The sequence below is a fragment of the Homo sapiens genome, chromosome 11 (assembly GCF_000001405.40).
Source record: "Homo sapiens chromosome 11, GRCh38.p14 Primary Assembly".
In the NCBI taxonomy this organism is placed as follows: domain Eukaryota; kingdom Metazoa; phylum Chordata; class Mammalia; order Primates; family Hominidae; genus Homo; species Homo sapiens.
The window spans coordinates 123,062,602-123,085,456 of record NC_000011.10 but is presented as its reverse complement, the minus strand read 5'-3'; the positions used below and the strand labels follow the sequence as shown (position 1 = coordinate 123,085,456).

Sequence of the window (22,855 nt, the reverse complement as noted above, 5' to 3'; positions counted from 1 at the left end):
GCCAACATGGCGAAACCCTGTCTCTACCAATAATACAAAAGTTAGCCGGGCATGGTGGTGTACACCTGTAATCCCAGCTACTCAGGAGGCTGAGGCAGGAGAACTGCTTGAACCCAGGAAGCGGAGGTTACAGTGAGCCAAGATTGTGCCACTGCACTTCAGCCTGGGTGACGGAGCGAGACTGTCTCAAAAATAAATAAATAAATAAATAAAACCAAGGAAACAGTCCTGTCTCATAGAAGTCTCTCAAATACTTAAAAAAAAAAAAAAAAAAGAATGGGAGGCAGGTTTGCCGACATCGTTCCAAGCTCGACCTTCCCTTTGGCTTCCCGAGGGGTCCCGAGGTTTCTTTTCCTTTCATAAGTCTATGCTTAATACATGCATAGCTGTACACTTGCATGGTTTCCTCCTTTCCTTGACTTAGCTGTGTGAACTTCAGTATGTAAGTCAAACTTCAAATTCCTTACCTGTAAGATGGAGTGGTTCTGAGCATTTAATATAATACTTTATAACTAAAATGCTACACAAACATGAAGTGTTATTATTTTTGGAAGGAGAGGCAAGGCCTAGGTGCAAATGTACTGTATTTTTAACTTTTATTTAGAACAGAGGTCTCTTGGACTCTCAGCCCCAGGCTTGACTACTTTGTGCCACTGGGAGTACTCCCTTTCCTCTTCTTCACACCATCAGGAAAGGCAGGCTGAGAGTTACGCTGCTTGACTCTGCCTCGGTCTATCCCACAGGTGATCACTTACTCCAGTCGTCATGTCTACAATAACTTGACTGAGGAACAGAAGGGCCGAGTGGCCTTTGCTTCCAATTTCCTGGCAGGAGATGCCTCCTTGCAGATTGAACCTCTGAAGCCCAGTGATGAGGGCCGGTACACCTGTAAGGTTAAGAATTCAGGGCGCTACGTGTGGAGCCATGTCATCTTAAAAGTCTTAGGTAAGATAGGATGCCAAAGTGAATGTCTACAGCTTATTTCTAAGGTATCTAAGAGGGATAGCCATATGCATCACGGTGGTACAAAACATCATGTTCAGTACTTTGGATTACACATTCAGAGGTCACCTCGTCCAGTTCCCTGGAAAGAAATGTGTATCTTCTGTATTATAGCCATAATAAAAAATGAAAATATAAGAGCAATTTTCCATAGTTGTCCATTACAAAACATATTCTCTAATATTTAAGTGGGATCTTCATATTTAAGTCTCTCAGATATGATTCAAATTCATTTCTGTTTTTTGACAGCAAGAGCTACCAAGTTCTACTTAATTGCTTCCAAATTAATACACTTCTGTATCAGTAAAACCATGCTCAACTTTCCTAAAATGTCCAATAATAATGTGTCTTCTTTGAGAAGTAATGAGGCAGCCTCTGCCCCAAAAATTAAAACAGCACCACTGGAGTTGCGGGTATGTGTGCTTAGGGGATGGAGGTGGATGTTTTGGTGGGGGTAGTGTAAAGCAAGGCTAGTTGAATCCCCACTCAAAAGTTGACCAAAACAGATGGCTGGAGAAGCAACTCAATAGGACATAATTTTTCCATTGAATCTGGTGTTTGGGGATCTTTGAATCACTACACTTTTGCTTGTTGTTGCTGTTGCCAGTGAGACCATCCAAGCCCAAGTGTGAGTTGGAAGGAGAGCTGACAGAAGGAAGTGACCTGACTTTGCAGTGTGAGTCATCCTCTGGCACAGAGCCCATTGTGTATTACTGGCAGCGAATCCGAGAGAAAGAGGGAGAGGATGAACGTCTGCCTCCCAAATCTAGGATTGGTAAGTCATCTTCCTACCAATCTATTGAGCCAACAAAATAGTCCTCTATCCGTGAGCTCTAAATCAGCTTTCTCAGCAACTCACTATGTGACCTGAAATACCCTGCTGAACCTCCTGAACTGCCATTTTTAAAATCCATTAACTAGAACAGAAAATCTGTCTTTCCTTTCCTCAAATGACATGTAAAAGTAGTAAAAGAGATTGGAAGAAATGTACTACATAAATCCACTATATCTAAATATTATGTTTAGTATCCCTTAAATGTTCACAATCTTTTGTAACTTTTGAGGATGTGCTACAACTTAAAAAAAATGTTTACCTTTCTTCTCATGTTCCCAAAGGATATCTTTTCCATCATTTCATTCTTATCAAATAGCATTACGGAATCTCAGCTCAGTGATACAATAAAGTAAACAATAAATATAGATACCATCACTAAAGGGATTTACAGTCATTCTTTCTGCTTGTGCAGACTACAACCACCCTGGACGAGTTCTGCTGCAGAATCTTACCATGTCCTACTCTGGACTGTACCAGTGCACAGCAGGCAACGAAGCTGGGAAGGAAAGCTGTGTGGTGCGAGTAACTGTACAGTGTAAGCATCCAAAGAGGTTTTAGTTTCATTTTTCTGTTTGTTTTTGCATTGTAGATCAATGTTAAGACATTCTAATCATAAGTAAGAGTAAGGTTAAGGTCAAAATCTTTATCTCCAGAAGGATATGGCTATCACCAAAATAAATTCAGTAGTTGCAAAGACCACTCAACAATTGACTGGCCAGGCACAGTGGCTCACACCTGTAATCCCAGCACTTTGGGAGGGCCAGGTGGGCAGATCAGTTGAGGTCAGGAGTTTGAGACCAGCCTGGCTAACATGGTGAAACCCCGTTTCTACTAAAATACAAAAATTAGCTGGGTGTGGTGGGCGCCTGTAATCTCAGCTACTCAGGAAGCTGAGGCAGGAAAATCTCCTGAACCTGGGAGGCGGAGGTTGCAGTGAGCCAAGATCACGCCACTGCACTCCAGTCTGGGTGACAGACTGAGACTCCCTCTCAAAAAAAAAAACACACACAAAAAAAACCAGCCCAGCGTGGCGGCTCATGCCTGTAATCCCAGCACTTCGGGAGGCCGAGGCAGGCAGATCACGAGGTCAGGAGTTCAGCCTGACCAACATGGTGAAACCCCATCTCTACTAAAAGACAAAAAATGAGCCAGGTGTGCTGATGCGTGCCTGTAATCCCAGCTACTCAGGAGGCTGAGGCAGAAGAATTGCTTTAACCTGAGACACGGAGGTTGCAGTGAGCCGAGATGGTGCCATTGCACTCCAGCCTGGACAACAGGGCGAGACTCCAACCAAAAAAAACAAAAACACACCAGTTGACTCTGTATTTACAAACATGTGAATTAGCCAGCCCCCTAAAGAAATTCACTATATCCAGGGGAGTACTAAATAAACACCATTCCTAAAAACAAAAACAAACAAAACCGTGCAGCTAGTTAGTTATATGCCACTACCATTCTAGGCAAGTAGATGAGATTTCTCCCCTCCACAGAGTGTTTGTGAGTGTGTATGTGCATGTGCTCATGCACACACACGTGTGTACATGTGTTATAATCAAGAATTTGATTTGCTTCAAGTACAGATGAGAGACAGTAGTAGGCGACTAAGAGCATCAGCCGTGGAGTCAGATAACTGCCTGGATTTCAATCACAGCTACCACTAACTCTGTAGTACCTTAGGCATATTTCCCAATCTATAAAGGAGAATAATAGTTAACTGTCTCATAGAGTTTTTCTTTTTTTCCTTTTTTTTTTTTTTTCTGGACAGGGTCTTGCTCTGTCACCCAGGCTGGAGTGCAGTGGTGTGATCTTGGCTTACTGCAGCCTCTGCCTCCCGGGTTCAAGCGACTCTCCTGCCTCAGCCTCCTGAGTAGCTGGAATTACAGGCACATGCCGTCACACCTGGCTAATTTTTGTAGAGACAGGGTTTTGCCACATTGGCCAGGCTGGTCTTGAACTCCTGGACTTAGGCGATCCACCCTTCTTCACCTCCCAGAGTGCTGCGATTACCGGCATGCGCAACGCCACCTGGCCTCTTAGAGTTTTTCTGAAAAGTTAGTAAATGAACACATTTACTTACAACTGCCTAGGAACAGGGCTTGACATACAGTGGGTGTTCAGTAACATTAGCTATTATTATTATTTCTCCTTAATCAATTTAGTAACTTCAGACTTTTGACCAAATCCTATATCCACAAGCCATGTTTGCAGTGTTAAAATTTATTTGGTGCAATAAATAGTATGCCAGGCTTATAATCTAGAGATTGAGTCTTGAAAAAAGACAGGATAAACCAAGTTGAAAGACAAAAGGAAGCAGGGCATGGATATTAATCTTTGTTACATTGTCTCCATAACATCTTTGTTAAATTGTCTCTAATTTCTCAAATGCTCTTTGGACCACTTTTAACATTTTCCTAACCCCCACCCTGTTTTTTTTTGTTGTTGGTTTTTTTTTGTTTTTTGTTTTTTTGAGACAGAGTCTCACTCTGTCACCCAGGCTGCAGTGCAATGGCGTGGTCTTGGCTCATTGCCACCTCCACCTCCCAGGTTCAAGCGATTCTCCCGCTTCAGCCTCCCGAGTAGCGAGTAGCTGGGACTACAGGTGTGTGCCACCACACCTGGCTAATTCTTGTATTTTTAGTAGTAGAGACGGGGTTTCACTATGTTGGCCGGGCTGGTCTCAAACTACTGACCTCGTGATCCGCCCACCTCGGCCTCCCAAAGTGCTGGGATCACAGGTGTGAGCCACCACACCCAGCGCCCCCTTATTAATAAGTTAAATAAAACCTTTAATTTGTCGGAATCAGTATTTTACTTTTTTCAAAGTTATACTTCAACATTCTGTGCCTATTTTGGTTTAGCTGTTTTCCCACTGATTTGAAAGAGTTCTTTATTATGTATTTATATACTCTACTTATTAGAATTTGCATTCTGGTGGTTTTAAAAATATGTCCAAGTAATGATTTGCTACTTCTCCCTTCAAGAGATATACCTTTGTCGAGGCGCAGTGGCTCACACCTGTAATCCCAACACTTTGGGAGGCCAAGGCGGGCAGATCACTTGAAGTTGGGAGTTCGAGACCAGCCTGACCAACAGGGTGAAACCCCATCTCTACTAAAAATAGAAAATTAGCTGGGCGTGGTGGCACATGCCCGTAATCCCAGCTACTTGGGAGGCCAAGGCAGGAGAATCACTTGAACCCGGGAGGTGGAAGTTGTAGTGAGCCTAGATTGTGCCACTCACTCCAGCCTGGGCAACAAGAGCGAAACTCCATCTCCAAAAAAAAAAAAAAAAAAGTACACCTTCATTCTCCTCTTTTTGAGTGTGATCTGAACTTAGTGACTCACTTCTGATGAGTATAATACAGCAGAAGTGATGGTATGTTGCATCTGCAAAAGCACTGCAGTTTGCTTTCTTAGATGTTAGATCTCTTAGATCTCAGATCACTCAGATCCTCTCTCTCTTAGATCACTCACTTTATGGGAAGCCAGCTGCTTTAAGAGCCTTATATAGAGGCCCATGTTTTATGTTTTATTTTAAGTGAGGAAACTGAGGCCTCCAGCCAACAGCCATGTGAATGAGCCATTTCAGAGGCAGATCATCCAACACCAGTCAAGCCTAGGAACAGGGCTTCACACATGGTGGGTGTTCAGTAACACTAGCTATTATTACTATTAACAGATTGCTGGATTTGACATCGAGCTACGAAGTCGCAGACTAATTCCTGGGGTCATCTGTTTAACTGGTGGATAAATTATTTCCATCTCTACTAGACAGAGGTCTACAAGTTGCCCCTACAGAGTTGTAAATTGCCAAGTTCTGTAGTTCTTTTGTCTATTTCCAAGTTTAGATAATTTTTCTTAAAAACACAACAGTCAGGCCGGGTGCAGTGGCTCACGCCTGTAATCCCAGCACTTTGGGAGGTCGAGGCGGGCGGATCACGAGGTCAGGAGTTTGAGACCAGCCTGGCCAGCATGGTGAAACCCCGTCTCTACTAAAAACACACAAAAAATTAGCTGGGCATGCCTGTAATCCCAGCTACTCGGGAGGTTAAGGTAGGAGAATCGCTTGACCCTGGGAGGTGGAGGTTGCAGTAAGCTGAGATCAGGCCACTGCACTCCAGCCTGGGTGACAGAGAGAGACTCCGTCTCAAAAACAAAACAAAACAAAACAAAAAAAGTAACAGGCAGTTTTCAGGAAAAGAAATAAAAAATGGTGAATAAACATGAATAAAGAGGCCCCCAAAAATCCTTTTTTCCCCACTAGGTTGAGAAAAAAAAATCACCCTTTTAATTTTAAGCTATCAGTTTAGTAAATATAAAAACTGTAGAATCTATATTAGAAAGGTTATGAGGAAACAGGTGCTTTTACATTTTTGACTAACATATACATTAGTAGCACAATTTAGATTTATCTATAGATTTCTGAGGGGTAAATATATTAAAGTAAAACTTATACAAAGAAGAAGGATAAGTGTACAACTTGATAGATTTTCAAAAGTGAAGATAACTGTGTAACCAGTATCATGATTAAGAACCTGTTTCTGGCCAGGCACGGTGGCTCATGCCTGTAATCCCAGCACTCTGGGAGGCCAAGCTGGGCGCATCACCTGAGGTCAGGAGTTTGAGACCAGCCTGACCAACATGCCAAAACCCCAGCTCTACTAAAAATATAAAACTTGCCGGGCACGGTGACTCACGCCTATAATCCCAGCACTTTGGGAGGCCGAGGCAGGTGGATCACGAGGTCAAGAGATCGAGACCATCCTGGCTAACATGGTGAAACGCCATCTCTACTAAAAATACAAAAAATTAGCTGGGCGTGGTGGCAGGCACCTGTAGTCCCAGCTACTCGGGAGGCTGAGGCAGGAGAATGGTGTGAACCCGGGAGGTGGAGCTTGCAGTGAGCCGAGATCCCGCCACTGCACTCCAGCCTAGGCGACAGAGCAGGACTCTGTCTCAAAAAAAAAAAAAACAAAAAAAACCAAAAAAAACACAAAAAAACAAAACTTAGCTGGGCATGGTGGTGCACACCTCTAATCCCAGCTACTCGGGAGGCTGAGGTAGGAAAATCACTTGAACCTGGGAGACAGAAGTTGCAGTGAGCCGAGATTGTGCCACTGCACTCCAGCCTGGGCAACAGAGTGAGACTCTGGCTCAAAAAAAAGAACCTGTTTCTGACTCCTGCTACCTCTCCATAATCCAGGTTTCTAACTTTATGGATTACTTTTCCTGTCTCAAAACTTTAAATAAACAGAATCATTCCATTTTGTCTGGTTTCTTTAATTCCCCATTATATTTTTGAGACTCATCATTGTTGTTGCTTATAGCTAGAGTATGTCATTTTTCATTGTTTTATAGTATTTCATTATATAACTATACAATTATTCATTTTATTTCAGATGCAAAATTGCATTCCATTTTATCCAGTAATATTTCTGTGAATTTATCTTTTAGAGACATGCCCCAAGTGTCCAAATACATATGGAAAATAATGATTTTTTTTTCTTTTTTTTTGAGACAGAGTTTCACTCTTGTTGCACAGGCTGGAGTGCAATGGTGCGATCTCGGCTCACTGCAACCTCCGCCTCCCAGGTTCAAGCACTTCTCCTGCCTCAGCTTCCTGAGGAGCTAGGATTACAGGCCTGCACACCACACCCAGCTGATTTTTGCATTTTTAGTAGAGACGGGGTCTTACCATGTTGGCCAGGCTGGTCTCGAACTCCTGGCATCAAGTGATCCACCTGCCTCACCTTCCCGAAGTGCTGAGATTACAGGCGTGAGCCACAGCACTGAGATATATTATTTTCCATTGTGAAAAATTGAAAGTGACCTAAATTTCCATTAACAGACAATCCATCTAGATTATGTGTCCTGGAGCTGGGGCAGTGGGGAAAACAGCATCCTCTATTTGAAATTACTCAGGTAAAATAACTCCATTCCTTTGAGACCTTAAATAAAAATATCCAAAGTCCAATTTCTTTAAAAAATGAAATTTTGGCTGGGCATGTGGCTCACACCTGTAACCCCAACACTTTGATGGAGGTGGGCGGATCACTTGAGGTCAGGAGTTTGAGACCAGCCTGACCAACATGAGAAATCCCATCTCTACTAAAAATACAAAATTAGCCAGGAGTGGTGGCGCATGCCTGTAATCCCAGCTACTCAGGAAGTTGAGGCAGGAGAATCACTTGAACCCGGGAGGCAGAGGTTGCGGTAAGCCAAGATCGCACCATTGCATTCCAGCCTGGGCAACAAGAGCAAAACTCTGTCTTAAAAATAAATAAATAATTGTATCATTTTGTTTTTATAAGAATAAATAGGCTGGGTGCAGTGGCTCACGCCTGAAATCCCAGCACTTTGGGAGGCCAAGGCGGGGGGTAGATCACCTGAGGTCAGGAGTTCGAAACCAGCCTGGCTGACATGGTGAAACCCTGTCTCTACTAAAAATACAATAATTAGCTGGCCATGGTGGTGCACGCCGGTAATCCCAGCTACTTAGGAAACTGAGGCAGGAGAATCACTTGAACCCGGGACGCGGAGGTTGCAGTGAGCTGAGATCGCGCCATTGCACTCCAGCCTGGGCAACAAGAGCGAAACTCCATCTCAAAAAAAAAAAAAAAAAAAAAAAAGAATAAATAGCAAATTCTGTTGATTAGACTTCCAAAATATAGGCAATATCCATGTACTTGTTTCTATATACATTACTTTCATCCTAGCCTAATCCATCATGATCTCCAGCCTGCACTATTATACGCCTCCTAGCCAATGTCCCTGCTTTCTTTCCTACTTCTCCACTATTTATTTTCCCTAGAGCAGCCATGGTGTACTGTCTCAGATATAATTCAGATTGTGTTACTCTTTTATTGCTCTCACATTAAAATTTTTGCCATGGCCTATGTGGGCTGGTCCTTTCCTGTCTCTGTGACCTCATCTCCCTCTACTCTCCCTTGCTCACTATGCTCCAGACCCACTCACATTAATTGTACTTGCTGTTTTCTGCCTGGAATGCTCTGTTCCTAGATAATCACAAGATCGTCCTTTATATCATATATGCCTCAACTCAAATGTCACCTCCTCAAAGTCTTAATCACCCAAACTTAAGTGGTATCCCTCCATTACCCCTCTAAAATTCACTCATCCAATTTTGCCTTCATGGAATTTATCCATTATCTGAAATTATCTTTATTTACTTGTTTATTATCTGTTTCCCTTCTGGAATGAAAACTCAACAAAAGCAGAAAACTTGCTGGTCTTCAACAGTGCCTATAACTGCCTGGCTCAGGGTAGGCACTGAAATAAATATTTGGTATATGAAAAAGGGTGTATTGCTAAACTACAAATTGTATTTACCTTAACTTCTTAAATTCTAGGATCCAATGTCAAATTCCACAGAGTCTAACATTATAGGTTATATTCCATTTTTAAAAATCAACTTTTATTCTACTCAAAATTTTTTTTTTTTGAGACAGAGTCTTGATGGAGTGCAGTAGCATGATGTCGGCTCACTACAACCTCTGCCTCCCAGGTTCAAGTGATTCTCCTGCCTTAACCTCCCGAGTAGCTGGGATTATAGGCGTGTGCCACCATGCCCAGATAACTTTTGTATTTTTAGTAGAGACGGGGTTTTGCCATGTTGGCCAGGCCGGTCTCGAACTCCTGACCTCAAGTGATCCGCCCACGTCAGCCTCCCAAAGTGCTGGGATTACAGGCCTGAGGCACTGTGCCCAGCCAAAAAAATTTTCTTACATTCCCTTTTATATGACTGGTGGGAGAAGAGAGATGTTAGAGAAAACAGGGAAGTCGGCAGAGCCAGAGGAATGCCCAAATGTTATCCTATTAAGGCAGACAAATCTTCAGACATGCTATGATTTCTCTCCCAGCCCAGTTTTACCATCTGAACCCACCCAGACTTATTCACTAAAACATAACCACTTGGTTGCGCGCGGTGGCTCACTCCTGTAATCCCAGCACTTTGGGAGAACGAGGAGGGCGGATCACGAGGTCAGGAGGTCAAGACCATCCTGGCTAACACGGTGAAACCCCGTCTCTACTAAAAATACAAAAAAACTAGCCGGGCGTGGTGGCGGGCGTCTGTAGTCCCAGCTACTCGGGAGGCTGAGGCAGGAGAATGGCGTGAATCCGGGAGGCGGAGCTTGCAGTGAGCCGAGATCGCGTCACTGCACTCCAGTCTGGGGGACACAGCGAGACTCCCTCTCAAAACAAACAAACAAACAAACAAAAACCCTGGCCACTTGCTGGCGAAGTCTGTGATTCAGTAACTACAACTGCAAATATATCAAGAGGGTTGGTCATACAATAAGAGAGAGTAATGCAGTACTACTCAGGAAGATAGATATAAAGACCTGGAGGTCGGCGCGGTGGCTCCCGCCTGTAATCCCAGCACTTTCGGAGGCTGAGTCTGGTGGATCACCTGAGGTCGGGAGTTTGCGACCAGCCTGACCAACATAGAGAATACCGTTTCTACTAAAAATACAAAATTAGCCGGGCGTGGTGGTGCACGCCTGTGATCCCAGCTACTCAAGAGGTTGAGGCAGGAGAATCACTTGAACCCAGGAGGTGGAGGTTGCGATGAGCCGAGATCATGCCACTGCACCCCAGCCTGGGCAACAAGAGTGAAACTCCGTCTCAAAAAAAAAAAAACAAAACAAACAAACCTGCAAATACTCATTCTGTCCAGAGCTTATGTTTTTTGAGTTAATAACATATTTCCTAGCTTACGTTTGGTTTTACTTGTGCTTTTGCTTCTGAGAAAATAGATGTACAAAGCATCGGCATGGTTGCAGGAGCAGTGACAGGCATAGTGGCTGGAGCCCTGCTGATTTTCCTCTTGGTGTGGCTGCTAATCCGAAGGAAAGACAAAGAAAGATATGAGGAAGAAGAGAGACCTAATGAAATTCGGTAAACCTCCCACATCCCTACTTTTACGGGGCTTCTGTTTTAGGGCCAGCACTATAGTGACCAGCCAACATAAATGTTCCCAGTTTTCTCTTAACCATGAATCTGTTAAAAGGATTATCCTGGTAGGTAGGAAGTTCCAGCCTAGGGACAGAGGGTATGGTTTACCTGGACTTTATTGTGAAACTATCTTATCCTCAACAAACACTTAAAAGTTAAATTAGGCTGGGCGTGGTAGGTCATGCCTGTAATCCCAGCACTTTGGGAGGCCGAGGCGGGAGGATTACTTGAGGCCAGGAGTTTGAAACCAGCCTTGTCAACATAGTTAGACTCCATCTTTACAAAAGAAAAATAAATAAATAAATAACCAGGCATGGTAGCCCATGCCTGTAGTCCCAGCTACTCAGGAGGCTGAGACAGGAGGATGACTTTAGCCCAGGAGTTTAAGACTACAGTGAGCCATGATTGCACCTCTGTACTCCAGCCTGGGTGACAGAGAAAGAGCATGTCTCAAAAAAAAAAAAAAAAAAAGTATGTACATATGTATATACATAAAACAGTTCAATTTACATTACTTCTGATTCACTTCTACCCATAATGGGCATACAATGAAGAATGGACATAGCCTATAGGTCATGAAAGGGTTTATGCAGACAAACCCTAAATCAGGAGGTGTGCTGTCTAGACCATCTCAATGGTAAGGTCCTATCCTCCCAGTATAATAGAGTTGACCTGTGGGCTAACAAAATATACATTTGTGTGAGCCAAGCATTAAGTCTTAAGATACGAGGAAGCACCTATGACCCTAAATGGTTGCCTTCCGATGGTATTATCTGAGGTTCACAGCTTCGGAAACCTCAGAAGGAAGCAATCATACTGGAAGCAATCACAGATCTGCCAGTGTTAATCTTTGCTGTTTTTTCTCTTCAGAGAAGATGCTGAAGCTCCAAAAGCCCGTCTTGTGAAACCCAGCTCCTCTTCCTCAGGCTCTCGGAGCTCACGCTCTGGTTCTTCCTCCACTCGCTCCACAGCAAATAGTGCCTCACGCAGCCAGCGGACACTGTCAACTGACGCAGCACCCCAGCCAGGGCTGGCCACCCAGGCATACAGCCTAGTGGGGCCAGAGGTGAGAGGTTCTGAACCAAAGAAAGTCCACCATGCTAATCTGACCAAAGCAGAAACCACACCCAGCATGATCCCCAGCCAGAGCAGAGCCTTCCAAACGGTCTGAATTACAATGGACTTGACTCCCACGCTTTCCTAGGAGTCAGGGTCTTTGGACTCTTCTCGTCATTGGAGCTCAAGTCACCAGCCACACAACCAGATGAGAGGTCATCTAAGTAGCAGTGAGCATTGCACGGAACAGATTCAGATGAGCATTTTCCTTATACAATACCAAACAAGCAAAAGGATGTAAGCTGATTCATCTGTAAAAAGGCATCTTATTGTGCCTTTAGACCAGAGTAAGGGAAAGCAGGAGTCCAAATCTATTTGTTGACCAGGACCTGTGGTGAGAAGGTTGGGGAAAGGTGAGGTGAATATACCTAAAACTTTTAATGTGGGATATTTTGTATCAGTGCTTTGATTCACAATTTTCAAGAGGAAATGGGATGCTGTTTGTAAATTTTCTATGCATTTCTGCAAACTTATTGGATTATTAGTTATTCAGACAGTCAAGCAGAACCCACAGCCTTATTACACCTGTCTACACCATGTACTGAGCTAACCACTTCTAAGAAACTCCAAAAAAGGAAACATGTGTCTTCTATTCTGACTTAACTTCATTTGTCATAAGGTTTGGATATTAATTTCAAGGGGAGTTGAAATAGTGGGAGATGGAGAAGAGTGAATGAGTTTCTCCCACTCTATACTAATCTCACTATTTGTATTGAGCCCAAAATAACTATGAAAGGAGACAAAAATTTGTGACAAAGGATTGTGAAGAGCTTTCCATCTTCATGATGTTATGAGGATTGTTGACAAACATTAGAAATATATAATGGAGCAATTGTGGATTTCCCCTCAAATCAGATGCCTCTAAGGACTTTCCTGCTAGATATTTCTGGAAGGAGAAAATACAACATGTCATTTATCAACGTCCTTAGAAAGAATTCTTCTAGAGAAAAAGGGATCTAGGAATGCTGAAAGATTACCCAACATACCATTATAGTCTCTTCTTTCTGAGAAAATGTGAAACCAGAATTGCAAGACTGGGTGGACTAGAAAGGGAGATTAGATCAGTTTTCTCTTAATATGTCAAGGAAGGTAGCCGGGCATGGTGCCAGGCACCTGTAGGAAAATCCAGCAGGTGGAGGTTGCAGTGAGCCAAGATTATGCCATTGCACTCCAGCCTGGGTGACAAAGCAAGACTCCATCTCAAAAAAAAAAAAAAATCAAGGAAGGATAAAAGGAAGTTCAGTATTGTACCACACTTGGAACTTCCTCCATTTCTTCCATTTTAGAAGGATATGAACCTGGAACTTTTGATGATTCTAAGCCTTAAACTATCAAAAAGATCAGGGATTGCCAATGCTTCTAATGGCACTGCAAGTATATGCCATAACCGTTCCCTCCTAAAAGTGAAAAATGAGAGAAATTCAGTATTTTCCCAGGCTCAGCATCCAGAAGTCTAGCTCTGGGCTGGAAGAAAAGGGTACTAATATTTAGGGAAGAGATGAGAATAAGTAGTGGGTGGCAGGAGAGGGCTGAGCTAGTGCCTGCTAACATTTTAGTTGTATCTTGGAAAGATTTAGCAAAAATAACTCACCAGGATAGCTGCTGAAGAGTTGATGAATGGGAGAAGAAAGATGTTTGAGAAATAAAGAAAACAGCAGCCTGCAATACAATAACTTGCCTTTTTAATAGTTTTGATTACTCTTGATACCTACAGCACAAATGCTGGACCTGAATCAGCTCTTCAAGGACCCTAGCACAAATGTCAACTGATCACCTCTGGGAGAGTAGAAAACTTTTTTTTTTTTGAGACGAAGTCTCGCTCTGTTGCCCAGGCTGGAGTGCAGTGGCACCATCTCAGCTCACTGCAGCGTCCGCCTCTTGGGTTCAAGTGATTCTCCTGCCTTGTCCTCCTGAGTCGCTGGTATTACAGGTGCCTGCCATCACACCCAGCTAATTTTTGGAGTTCTGATAGAGACAGGGTTTCTCCATGTTGGCCAGGCTTGTCTCAAGCTCCTGACCTCAAGTGACCTACCCACCCTTGGCCTCCCACAGTGCTGGAAGCCACTGCACCTGGCTCAGAATACTTTTTTTTTTGAGATGCAGTCTTGCTCTCATCACGCAGGCTGGAGTGCAGTGGCGTATCTCGGCTCACTGCGACCTCCACCTCCCGAGTTCAAGCGATTCTCCTTCCTCAGTCCCCCAAGTAGCTTGGATTATAGGTGTGCGCCACCACGTACAGCTAATTTTTGTATTTTTAGTAGAGATGGGGTTTCGCCATGTTGACCAGGCTGGTCTCAAAACGCCTGACCTCAGGTGATCCACCCACCTCGGCCCCACAAAGTGCTAGGATTACAGGTGTGAGCCACCATGCCCGGCCCAGAATACTTTTTAAAAGAAGAGCAGGTTAGAGGAAAGAAAAAAATTGATGCTGAATGTGGTGATGAAAGCATGTTTCTAAAATGGGAAGCAGATGCTTAAAGAGGAAAGACTAATCTGGGATTTTGCCCCATTTCTCTGGTTTTTCACTCCTATATTTAATTCTCACAATCGTGTCGTCACATAGTGCAAAAAACAAAATTCTTGTAAAGTCCCCAGGAGTTTATGCTTGGGTGAAAGTTTTAGCCTGAGTATTTTCTTCCTCTAAAAAAGGTGGGAAATGAGACATTGAGGAATTAACATATAAATGTCTGCTATGGGTTTAAGAGAACTGGCGTATTTGGAATGCTTCTTACACTAACACTGTCTCATTGTAAAATATAAAACCCCTTACTCTAACTACATTTTTATTCCTCTGGTAGTGTGGTATCCAGGCAACATATCACTTCTGCTATGTAATTCTAAGAATTCTCATTTCTAGAGTACCTGAGCCAAACAAATACACAACGGAAGCTGCAGCTGTATCATCACTAGCAATTTGCTCATCATTATTTACTACCTTTGAACCTAAGGTTTCCTGCCTATGCTTTTGAAAGCAAAAATCAGTCTCCTTTGCATGAAAAAGAGCCTTAGATTTTTAAACATGTTAGTTACCAGAATGCTAAAATACCAGTTGATTACCCAAATTATTTTGGAAATCTATCCATAATGGAAGTCTACAACAAACACATAAAACAGATTACACTAAGAGCTGAGAAATTCAAAGGAACTGAAGATTCTGAGAGATAAACTGTTCAAGTCTTAGCAATGATACTGCACTTCTCTTTGACAGGTTCTGGGCTTAAGTTAGAGGCCCTACTGGTTCCAAACCATATTCCACTGACTTTGCAAGTAAAATAAATTTGATTCTGAAATAGGAAACAAAAAAAGGAGAAATAACCGAATAGTAGAAGAAAAACTGTTTGTAGGAAGACGATGCAGATGGAATGATGTGGACATTGAGTAACCATGTCAATAAAATATATAAACCAAACTTAAATTTGTGAAATAAGGAAGTTGGTACCTTTGTTGTTACAGTGTATAAAAACAATTTCGGAACTGCTGTTGCAAAAAGACATATATAGTTTTGCTTCCTTCTGGTGTTAAGCTGTTTATATTTCAGTTTCAGTTTTAACTTCTAAGTTGCCTTGTAATTGGGACTGTGTTTCAGCATCACAAAAACCAAATATTTATTATGGATGCATCTGTATCAGCAATTAAAAAATAAACAAGTAAAAGTGATACTGTAGGAGAAGCTGAAGCTCATATAACCTGGAATGGAAATTTGTTTATCAGCTTGCTGCCAACAGAAGAACAGAAGAACTCAGACTGAATACGATCTATTATTTATCAATTTCAGTCACGAATTTACCAATTACTTTTTTCTCTCACAAGGCAAGATGCTAGGTATAAGTTGCACAGGGGATACCAAGAGTTGCTGTCCTTAAGGATTTATCAAAATTAATGAAATAATAATTACTAAGTAAGTATTTTGTGCCTAGGTGAAGTGCCAACAGAGAAGCACACACTAAGGGGTTCAAATAAATCTGAAAAGTATGCACTAAGAGATTCAAATACATCTGGAAAAAACTTCACAGAGGTCATTGCAAAATAGCAGCAATAATAGTAATCATCACTTACTGAGCCATCACGTGCCAGTCACACTAAGTACATTATACATTTTGTCTCAATGTCATACTCACATCAACCCTATAAGGAAATATTTGTATTCACATTCTACAAGTGAGAAATGTAAGGCTCAAAGAGGTTAAGTCAGTAGTAGAGCCAGCATTTATTTTCACTTTTATTTTTATTTTGAGACCGAGTCTAGCTTTGTCGCCCAGGCTGGAGTGCAGTGGCACAATCTCAGCTCACTGCAAGCTCCGCCTCCCGGGTTCACGCCATTCTCCTGCCTCAGCCACCCGAGTACCTGGGACAACAGGCGCCTGCCACCACGCCTGGCTAATTTTTTGTATTTTTAGTAGCGACGGGTTTCACCGTTAGCCAGGATGGTCTCAATCTCCTGACTTCATGATCCGCCCATCTCAGCCTTCCAGTGCTGGGATTACAGGCATGAGCCACTGTGCCCGGCCCTGGAGCCAGGATTTAAACCCAGCCACTGTTAGTATATTCCATCAGAACTGACAGATCCTGATTCATCATCATCTTCCCTCCTGAAATCCTCAAACTTTTACACTCAGCTATAGGCTTTCTCTCCTCTTTGCTTTCTTCCTTGACCTAAAGCTGTTCACCATACTTGGGACACACTTAGCTCACTCACACAAGTCCAAATCCTTTAGTTTTCCCTTGTTCTGCAAAACAAGATACAATTCCCAATTTTATAATTGCCTGATTTGTCTTTACATGGTAATGATGGGCTTAGATCATGTAATTTTTGTTGAATGTTAAGCACAGAGTATCTTGAGCACATCAAGATTAAATCTGTCCAATCTTCTGAGAGGCAAAAAGATAAGGTACATTAAAACTACAAAATAATAGGTACAGTTGATTCTTCAAAGATGATACAGTCATATCAATTTATTTAAAATGTAGGCTGGGGGCCATGGCTCACGCCTGTAATTCCAACACTTTGGGAGGCTGAGGTAGGTGGATCACTTGAGGTCAAGAGTTCAAGACCAGCCTGGCCACGATGGTGAAACTCCATCTCTACTAAAAATACAAAAACTAGCTGGGCGTGGTGGCACATGCCTGTGGTCCCAACTACTCGGGAGGCTGAGGCAGGTCAATCACTTGAACCCGGGAGGTGGAGGTTGCAGTGAGCGGAGATCGTACCACTCCACTCCAGCCTGGGTGACAGAGCAAGACTCTCAAAAAAAAAAAAAAATTATACAGTTCAAGGACCCCATGTTTAGTAATTATGTTTACAATTATTTACTTCTTTTTTTTTTTTTTTTTTTTTTGAGACGCAGTCTCACTCTGTTGCCCAGGCTGGAGTGCAGTGGTGTGATCTTGGCTCACTGCTGCAACCTCCGCCTCCTGGGTTCAAGCGATTCTCCTGCCTCAGCCTCCCGAGTAGCTGGGACTACAGGCGCACACCATCACGCCTGGCTAATTTTTGTATTTTTAGCAGAGATGGGCTTTCACCATGTAAGCCAGGCTGGTCTCCAACTCCTGACCTCAGGTGATCCGCCAGCCTCCCAAAGTGCTGGGATTACAGGCGTGAGCCACTGTACCCAGCCCTCTGTCATCTTTTATATCATATGTTTTTGTTACCACTTGTGGATGGAAAAGTAAGTTATAAAAAAGGAAAACTCAATGAGTTTGGCTACTTGTAAGCAGCTCTGCTAAAGATTTCAATTAGTAAAACAATTTAAAAATTAGGGCCAGCCACAGTGGCTCTTGCCTGTAAACCTAGCACTTTGGAAGGCCAAAGCAGGAGGATTGCTCGAGTCCAGGAGTTTGAGACCAGCTTGGGCAACACAGTAAGACCCCATCTCTGCAAAAGGAAAACAAACAAACAAAAAAAAAAACTTTTTTTTTTTTTTTTTTTTTGAGACGGAGTCTTGCTCTGTTGCCAGGCTGGAATGCAGTGGTGTGATCTTGACTCACTGTAGCCTCCACCTCCTGGGTTCAAGTGATTCTCCTCCCTCAGCCTCCTGAGAAGCTGGGACTAGAGGTGCGTGCCACCATGCCCAGCTAATTTTTGTATTTTTAGTAGAAACAGCGTTTCAGCATGTTGGCCAGGATAGTCTCGATCTCTTGACCTTGTGATCCTCCTGCCTTGGCCTCCCAAAGTGCTGGGATGACAGGCGTGAGCCACCGCGCCCAGCCAAAAAAAAATCTTAAAAATTAGCCGGGTGCAGTGGCTCACGCCTGTCATCCCAGCACTTTGGGAGGCTGAGGCGGGTGGATCACCTGAGGTCAGGAGTTCGAGACCAGCCTGACCAACATGGAGAAACCCCATCCCTACTAAAAATAGAAAAAATTAGCTGGGCATGGTAGCACATGCCTGTAATCCCAGCTACTTGGGAGGCTGAGGCAGGAGAATTGCTTAAACCTGGGAGGCGGAGGTTGCAGTGAGCTGAGATTGCGCCATCGCACTCCAGCCTGGGCGACAAAAGTGAAACTCCATCTCAAAAAATAAATAAATAAATAAATAAATAAATATTAAAAATTAAGCTGCTCTGAAAAAAATTTTAAATTAAAATAGGCGGGGCGCAGTGGCTCACGCCTGAGTCCCAGCACTTTGGGAGGCCGAGGCGGGTGGATCATGAGGTCAGGAGTTCGAGACCAGACTGACCAACATGGCGAAAACCCCTCTCTACTAAAAATGCTAAAAAAATTAGCCGGGCATGGTGGTGTGCGCCTGTAATCCCATCTACTCAGGAGGCTGAGGCAGGAGAACTGCTTGAACCCAGGAGGGGGAGGCTGCAGTGAGCTGAGATTGCACCATTGCACTCCAGACTGGGTGACAGTGAGACTCCATCTCAGATTAAAAAAAAAAAATTAAAATAATAAGGAGCACCTTTTTTTTCTTTAAGAGACAGGTTCTCACTCTGTCGCCCAGGCTGGAGCTCAGTGGCACAATCACGGCTCACTGCAGCCTCAACCTCCCAGGCTCAAACCATCTTCCCACCTCAGCCTCCCGAGTACCTGGGACTACAGGCACATGCCAACACGCCCAGCTAATTTTTGTATTTTTTGTAGAGATGGGGTCTCCTTATGTTGCCCAGGCTGGCCTTGAACTCCTGGGCTCAAGCCATCTACCAGCTTTGGCCTCCCAAAATGCTGGGATTACAGTGCCTGGCCAAGAGCGCATTTTATACCGCACCTCCTCTCCATAGTGCAGGGGCTAAACAAGATGACTAAGAGTTTGAAAGTAGAAAGCAACCTAGCCTGAGTTAGAAGCATAAGCTGTAGAATAAAATCTGATTTTGAAAAATTCAGGGTCAGCTAGAGATCTTAAGCAAATTATTTGACCTATTTGAACCTCAATTTCTTTACCTGAAAATGCGGACAATATGATCTGCCAAAAATAGTTGTGAGGGTCATGTAAGAGAATATATGTCAAATGCTTAGCATGGTGCCCTGCATAAAGCACTGAATAAAACATCAATGGCAAGGGCTCTACTACCAGAAATACAATAGGCATGAGAATGTTCTAAAGCGTATAATCTGGTTTAGGAAGGTAAAGCATAATGCAGGAAAAAGATATTGGGGCTATGTTTATGTATGCTGTTCTCCAGTTGCAATAATTTATACATGGCTGCAGTTAGAAATCAAAATATTAATAACAGCTTACATCATTCTGGTTTCAAATTTCCCTGATGCAATGCAGTACATACACTCCAGTATTTGGGCAATCAGGGCATACATATATTGCATCTTTTAGTCATGTCACCGGGTCACAGGAGGATTGTTTTTAATATCTGAGTTTTTAAAGCAAGGGACTGTAAGTTTACTATTCTTTAATACTAATTTTTTAAAAATGCATACTTAGTAACAGTACACCACATAATCCTAACACAAATTATCCAATTAAATTCTAAACCTTAAATTTTTTTCATTTTTTTTTGTTTTTTGAGACAGGGTTTTGCTCCGTCACTCAGGCTGGAGTGCAGGGGCACAACCATGGCTCACTGCATTCTCCACCTCTTGAGCTCAAGCGATCCTCCCATCTCATTTTTTCAGAGATGGGGGTCTCACTATTTTGCCTAGGCTGGTTGAGACTTTTCAACAGAAGCAACTGATACCACAAAACTATTAAATAATTTCTTCATAAACTGAGGCCAGCACGGCGGCTCACTCCTGTAATCCCAGCACTTTGGGAGGCCGAGGTGGGAAGATTACTTGAGGCCTGAGACCAGTCTGACCAACATGGTGAAACCCCGTCCCTACTAAAAATAACAAAAATTAGCGGGGCGTGGTGGTGGTGCGGGCCTCTAATCTCAGCTACTTGGGAGGCTGAGGCAGGAGAATTGCTTGAACCCAGGAGGCGGAGGTTGCAGTGAGCCAAGATCACAGCACTGCACTCCAGCCTGGATGACAGTTATAGACTCCACATAAAAAAAAAAAACAAAAAAAACAGGCCAGGCGTGGTAGCTCATGCCTGTAATCCCAGCACTTTGGGAGGCCGAGGCAGGCGGATTACCTGAGGACAGGAGTTTGAGACCAGCCTGGCCAATATGGTGAAACCCCGTCTACTAAAATAGAAAAATTAGCCGGGCGTGGTGGCATGCACCTGTAGTCTCAGCTACTCGCGAGGCTGAGGCAGGGGAATCACTTGAACCTGGGAGGCGGAGGTCGCAGTGAGCCAAGTTCCTGCCACTGCACTCCAGCCTGGGGGACAGAGCGAGACTCCATCTTTTCTGGGAGACTCCATTGGGAGACTGTCTTTTTTGGGAGACGGAGTCGTGCCTTAGTTTCCCCATTTACAAAATGACGATCATAATAGTTGCTACCGCTTAGATTTACGGTGAGAATTAAATGAGGTTAAGGCTGGCATGTGGTAGGCACACAAAAATGTTAAATCATTATCCTTTTATCCAGTCAGAAGTCCTAGGCTCTAGGCTCCACTGCAGTCCCATGCAACCAAACTTTAATTTTAGATCTTAACTGTGTCATTTGAAACCCTGTGCGTTTGAAGTGGTGGAGACAGGACCTTTATCATATTCTGAGCTTTAAATATATAAACGGTAAATCATTCCATTTAATAAGACATAGCCCAAGTCCCAGAACGCGTTTTGAGAGTAACCAGAAACAGAGGTTATTTGTTCTGCTTTCTTTTATCACTGCTATTGGATGGGATATCCCAAACAAGTGGATGTGCGCCCCAATTCTATTTTCCACTATTCAATGATTAAAATAATTACAAAAACGCAAAATACAGCACAGGGTGTAGTTTAAAATTTGTGCTTGTTAAACTCTAGGCACTGGGGTGTGAAAAGAAAGATTCCAGATAACATTACTAGCAGTTAGCGTGGGGGACTGGGGGTTCCAAATACCAAAGGAAACTGAAAACAGTGGCTCACAGTACATATCTTAACTCTTTCTGGAGTTGAGTTCAATTTATTTCCAGGAAGGAAATTACACTGTAGCGTAACTAACAAAAAACATAAAACAAATCTTGAACCAAAAAAAAGCTAGATTTGATTCTAGCTTACCCAGCTGCTTATCTTCCCACAAATGATTATCTCTGAGCTGCATTTTTCCCCTGATATGGGGATGAATAATACACACCTTAGAGAATTGTGTTGATGATTAAATGACAAATGAAAGCATTTTGTATGTAGTGAAAGCATTGTATAAAATTAAATTCTTGGGACGTGGGAGAGGCTAAGAATATATCTCCATGAACTCTAAGCCAACATTCCTCCCCAAAAGGAAAATATGAAAAGGAAATTCTTCATATGTTTGAGTCTGTCTCTACCCTTTACTGGCTTTGACAAGGACAAGATGTCCTCGCTCTTCTGACAGCCTTTTTCGCAGTCTAGAGACCTTCTAATTCCAGCCCTGCTACTAAAAGTTCTTTTGGTGTAGCCTTAAAAAATCTTTTCCCCCATCGGTGCCTATTTATCTACTAAATAGGAATAACAGCTACCTCGCCTGCTTGAAAGGATACAGGGAGTGTTCAAGGTACCTGAGACAGGCTCTTGGAACCACAAGGCCCCACATATCCGCGGCCATGCACAACATTGCACAATTCAAAATTCTAGGCACCATTGTTTTGTGCACCAGCTCAGTCACGTTTTCAAAGCGTCGGTATGGTCTGTCGTTTAATTTTTGATGAAAGTCAAACCAGGAAAGATATCACCTCATGTTACTGAAAATACAAACGTTCAGAAAGTCTAAATCAAGGACGCACGGCTACTGGAACCTATGATTCCTAATGCCTGGTTCACCTAACCAAGAACACACTCGCCACCATTTAAACCTGTTTATTTTATAAACAACGGGGAAATGTAGGGCTTGGGCTAGTTGGGGAAGGACTGAGCCAAGAAGCCGAATCTGTTCTAGACGGAGGTGGGAAGGGGCCTAACGGTCAGGGCTCAGAGAAGCGGTTTCGCCTTCTTTTCCGCGGAGGGATCCAGACACGACCGCGTCCTGAGGCGGTTCTGAAAAGCCGGGCCCCTTAAACCTCTGCGTCGGGGGCTGCCTCCCGACAGTTGCCGTAGGGAAATGCAGGTGCTGGGAGGCCTGCCGAGCTAACCCGCCCCACCCCGCGGCGGCCTGGCGGCTCCCTCCAATCCCAATCCTGGGGGGCCGTGAGCGAGCAGCCCTAGTGGCACCCTGAAGCCGGAACCTTCGCCCCAGCCCCTCGGGGTCAGCCCTTGTCCAAAGCCACGCTATGAAATACAGATTCGCGAAACCCGGGGCACTTAGAGGCCCGTCTGGAACACGAAGGTGGGGCATGGAAAGGAGGATTCGGACGTGGGTGGGGGAGGGGAGCAACAACCTTCGCAGCCATTTTGTCCTCGCTCCACTTCCGTCTTCTCCTGCCCGGCTCCCGCGCCCAAACCCCTCCCTTCAGGCCCCGCGCGATTCCGCCCCC

The 22,855-nt window shown here is 43.6% G+C and overlaps 1 protein-coding gene and 1 long non-coding RNA gene across 2 annotated transcripts in view, besides 3 other annotated features; one reads left to right on the top strand and one right to left on the bottom strand.

Moving 5' to 3' along the window:
* The window catches only part of CLMP (CXADR like cell adhesion molecule), a 125,377-nt gene extending 109,792 nt beyond the window's left edge, over positions 1–15,585 (top strand). Inside the window, exons 3-7 of the mRNA NM_024769.5 lie at positions 744–945; positions 1,610–1,777; positions 2,250–2,372; positions 10,614–10,755; positions 11,683–15,585. Coding sequence (NP_079045.1) covers positions 744–945; positions 1,610–1,777; positions 2,250–2,372; positions 10,614–10,755; positions 11,683–11,983 — 936 coding nt within the window. The 3' untranslated portion in view covers positions 11,984–15,585. The remainder of the gene's footprint in view (positions 1–743; positions 946–1,609; positions 1,778–2,249; positions 2,373–10,613; positions 10,756–11,682) is intronic.
* On the bottom strand, positions 580–22,795 carry LOC124902775 (uncharacterized). Its single transcript, XR_007062927.1, has 2 exons — positions 21,926–22,795; positions 580–2,443 (listed from the first exon to the last, which is right to left on the bottom strand). It is a non-coding gene; the product is annotated as an uncharacterized LOC124902775 (long non-coding RNA).
* Positions 1,542–1,836: an enhancer, noted in NCBI's record as "tiled region #9139; HepG2 Activating DNase unmatched - State 9:DNaseU, and K562 Activating DNase unmatched - State 8:EnhW". NCBI's record gives its function as "activates a minimal TATA promoter and a strong SV40 promoter by Sharpr-MPRA in HepG2 and K562 cells {active_cell/tissue: HepG2 | K562}" and the evidence as "EXISTENCE:reporter gene assay evidence [ECO:0000049][PMID:27701403]".
* Positions 16,951–17,000: a silencer, noted in NCBI's record as "silent region_4012". NCBI's record gives its function as "represses an Ori minimal core promoter by ATAC-STARR-seq in GM12878 lymphoblastoid cells {active_cell/tissue: GM12878}" and the evidence as "EXISTENCE:reporter gene assay evidence [ECO:0000049][PMID:35858748]".
* Positions 22,573–22,842: an enhancer, noted in NCBI's record as "active region_5676". NCBI's record gives its function as "activates an Ori minimal core promoter by ATAC-STARR-seq in GM12878 lymphoblastoid cells {active_cell/tissue: GM12878}" and the evidence as "EXISTENCE:reporter gene assay evidence [ECO:0000049][PMID:35858748]".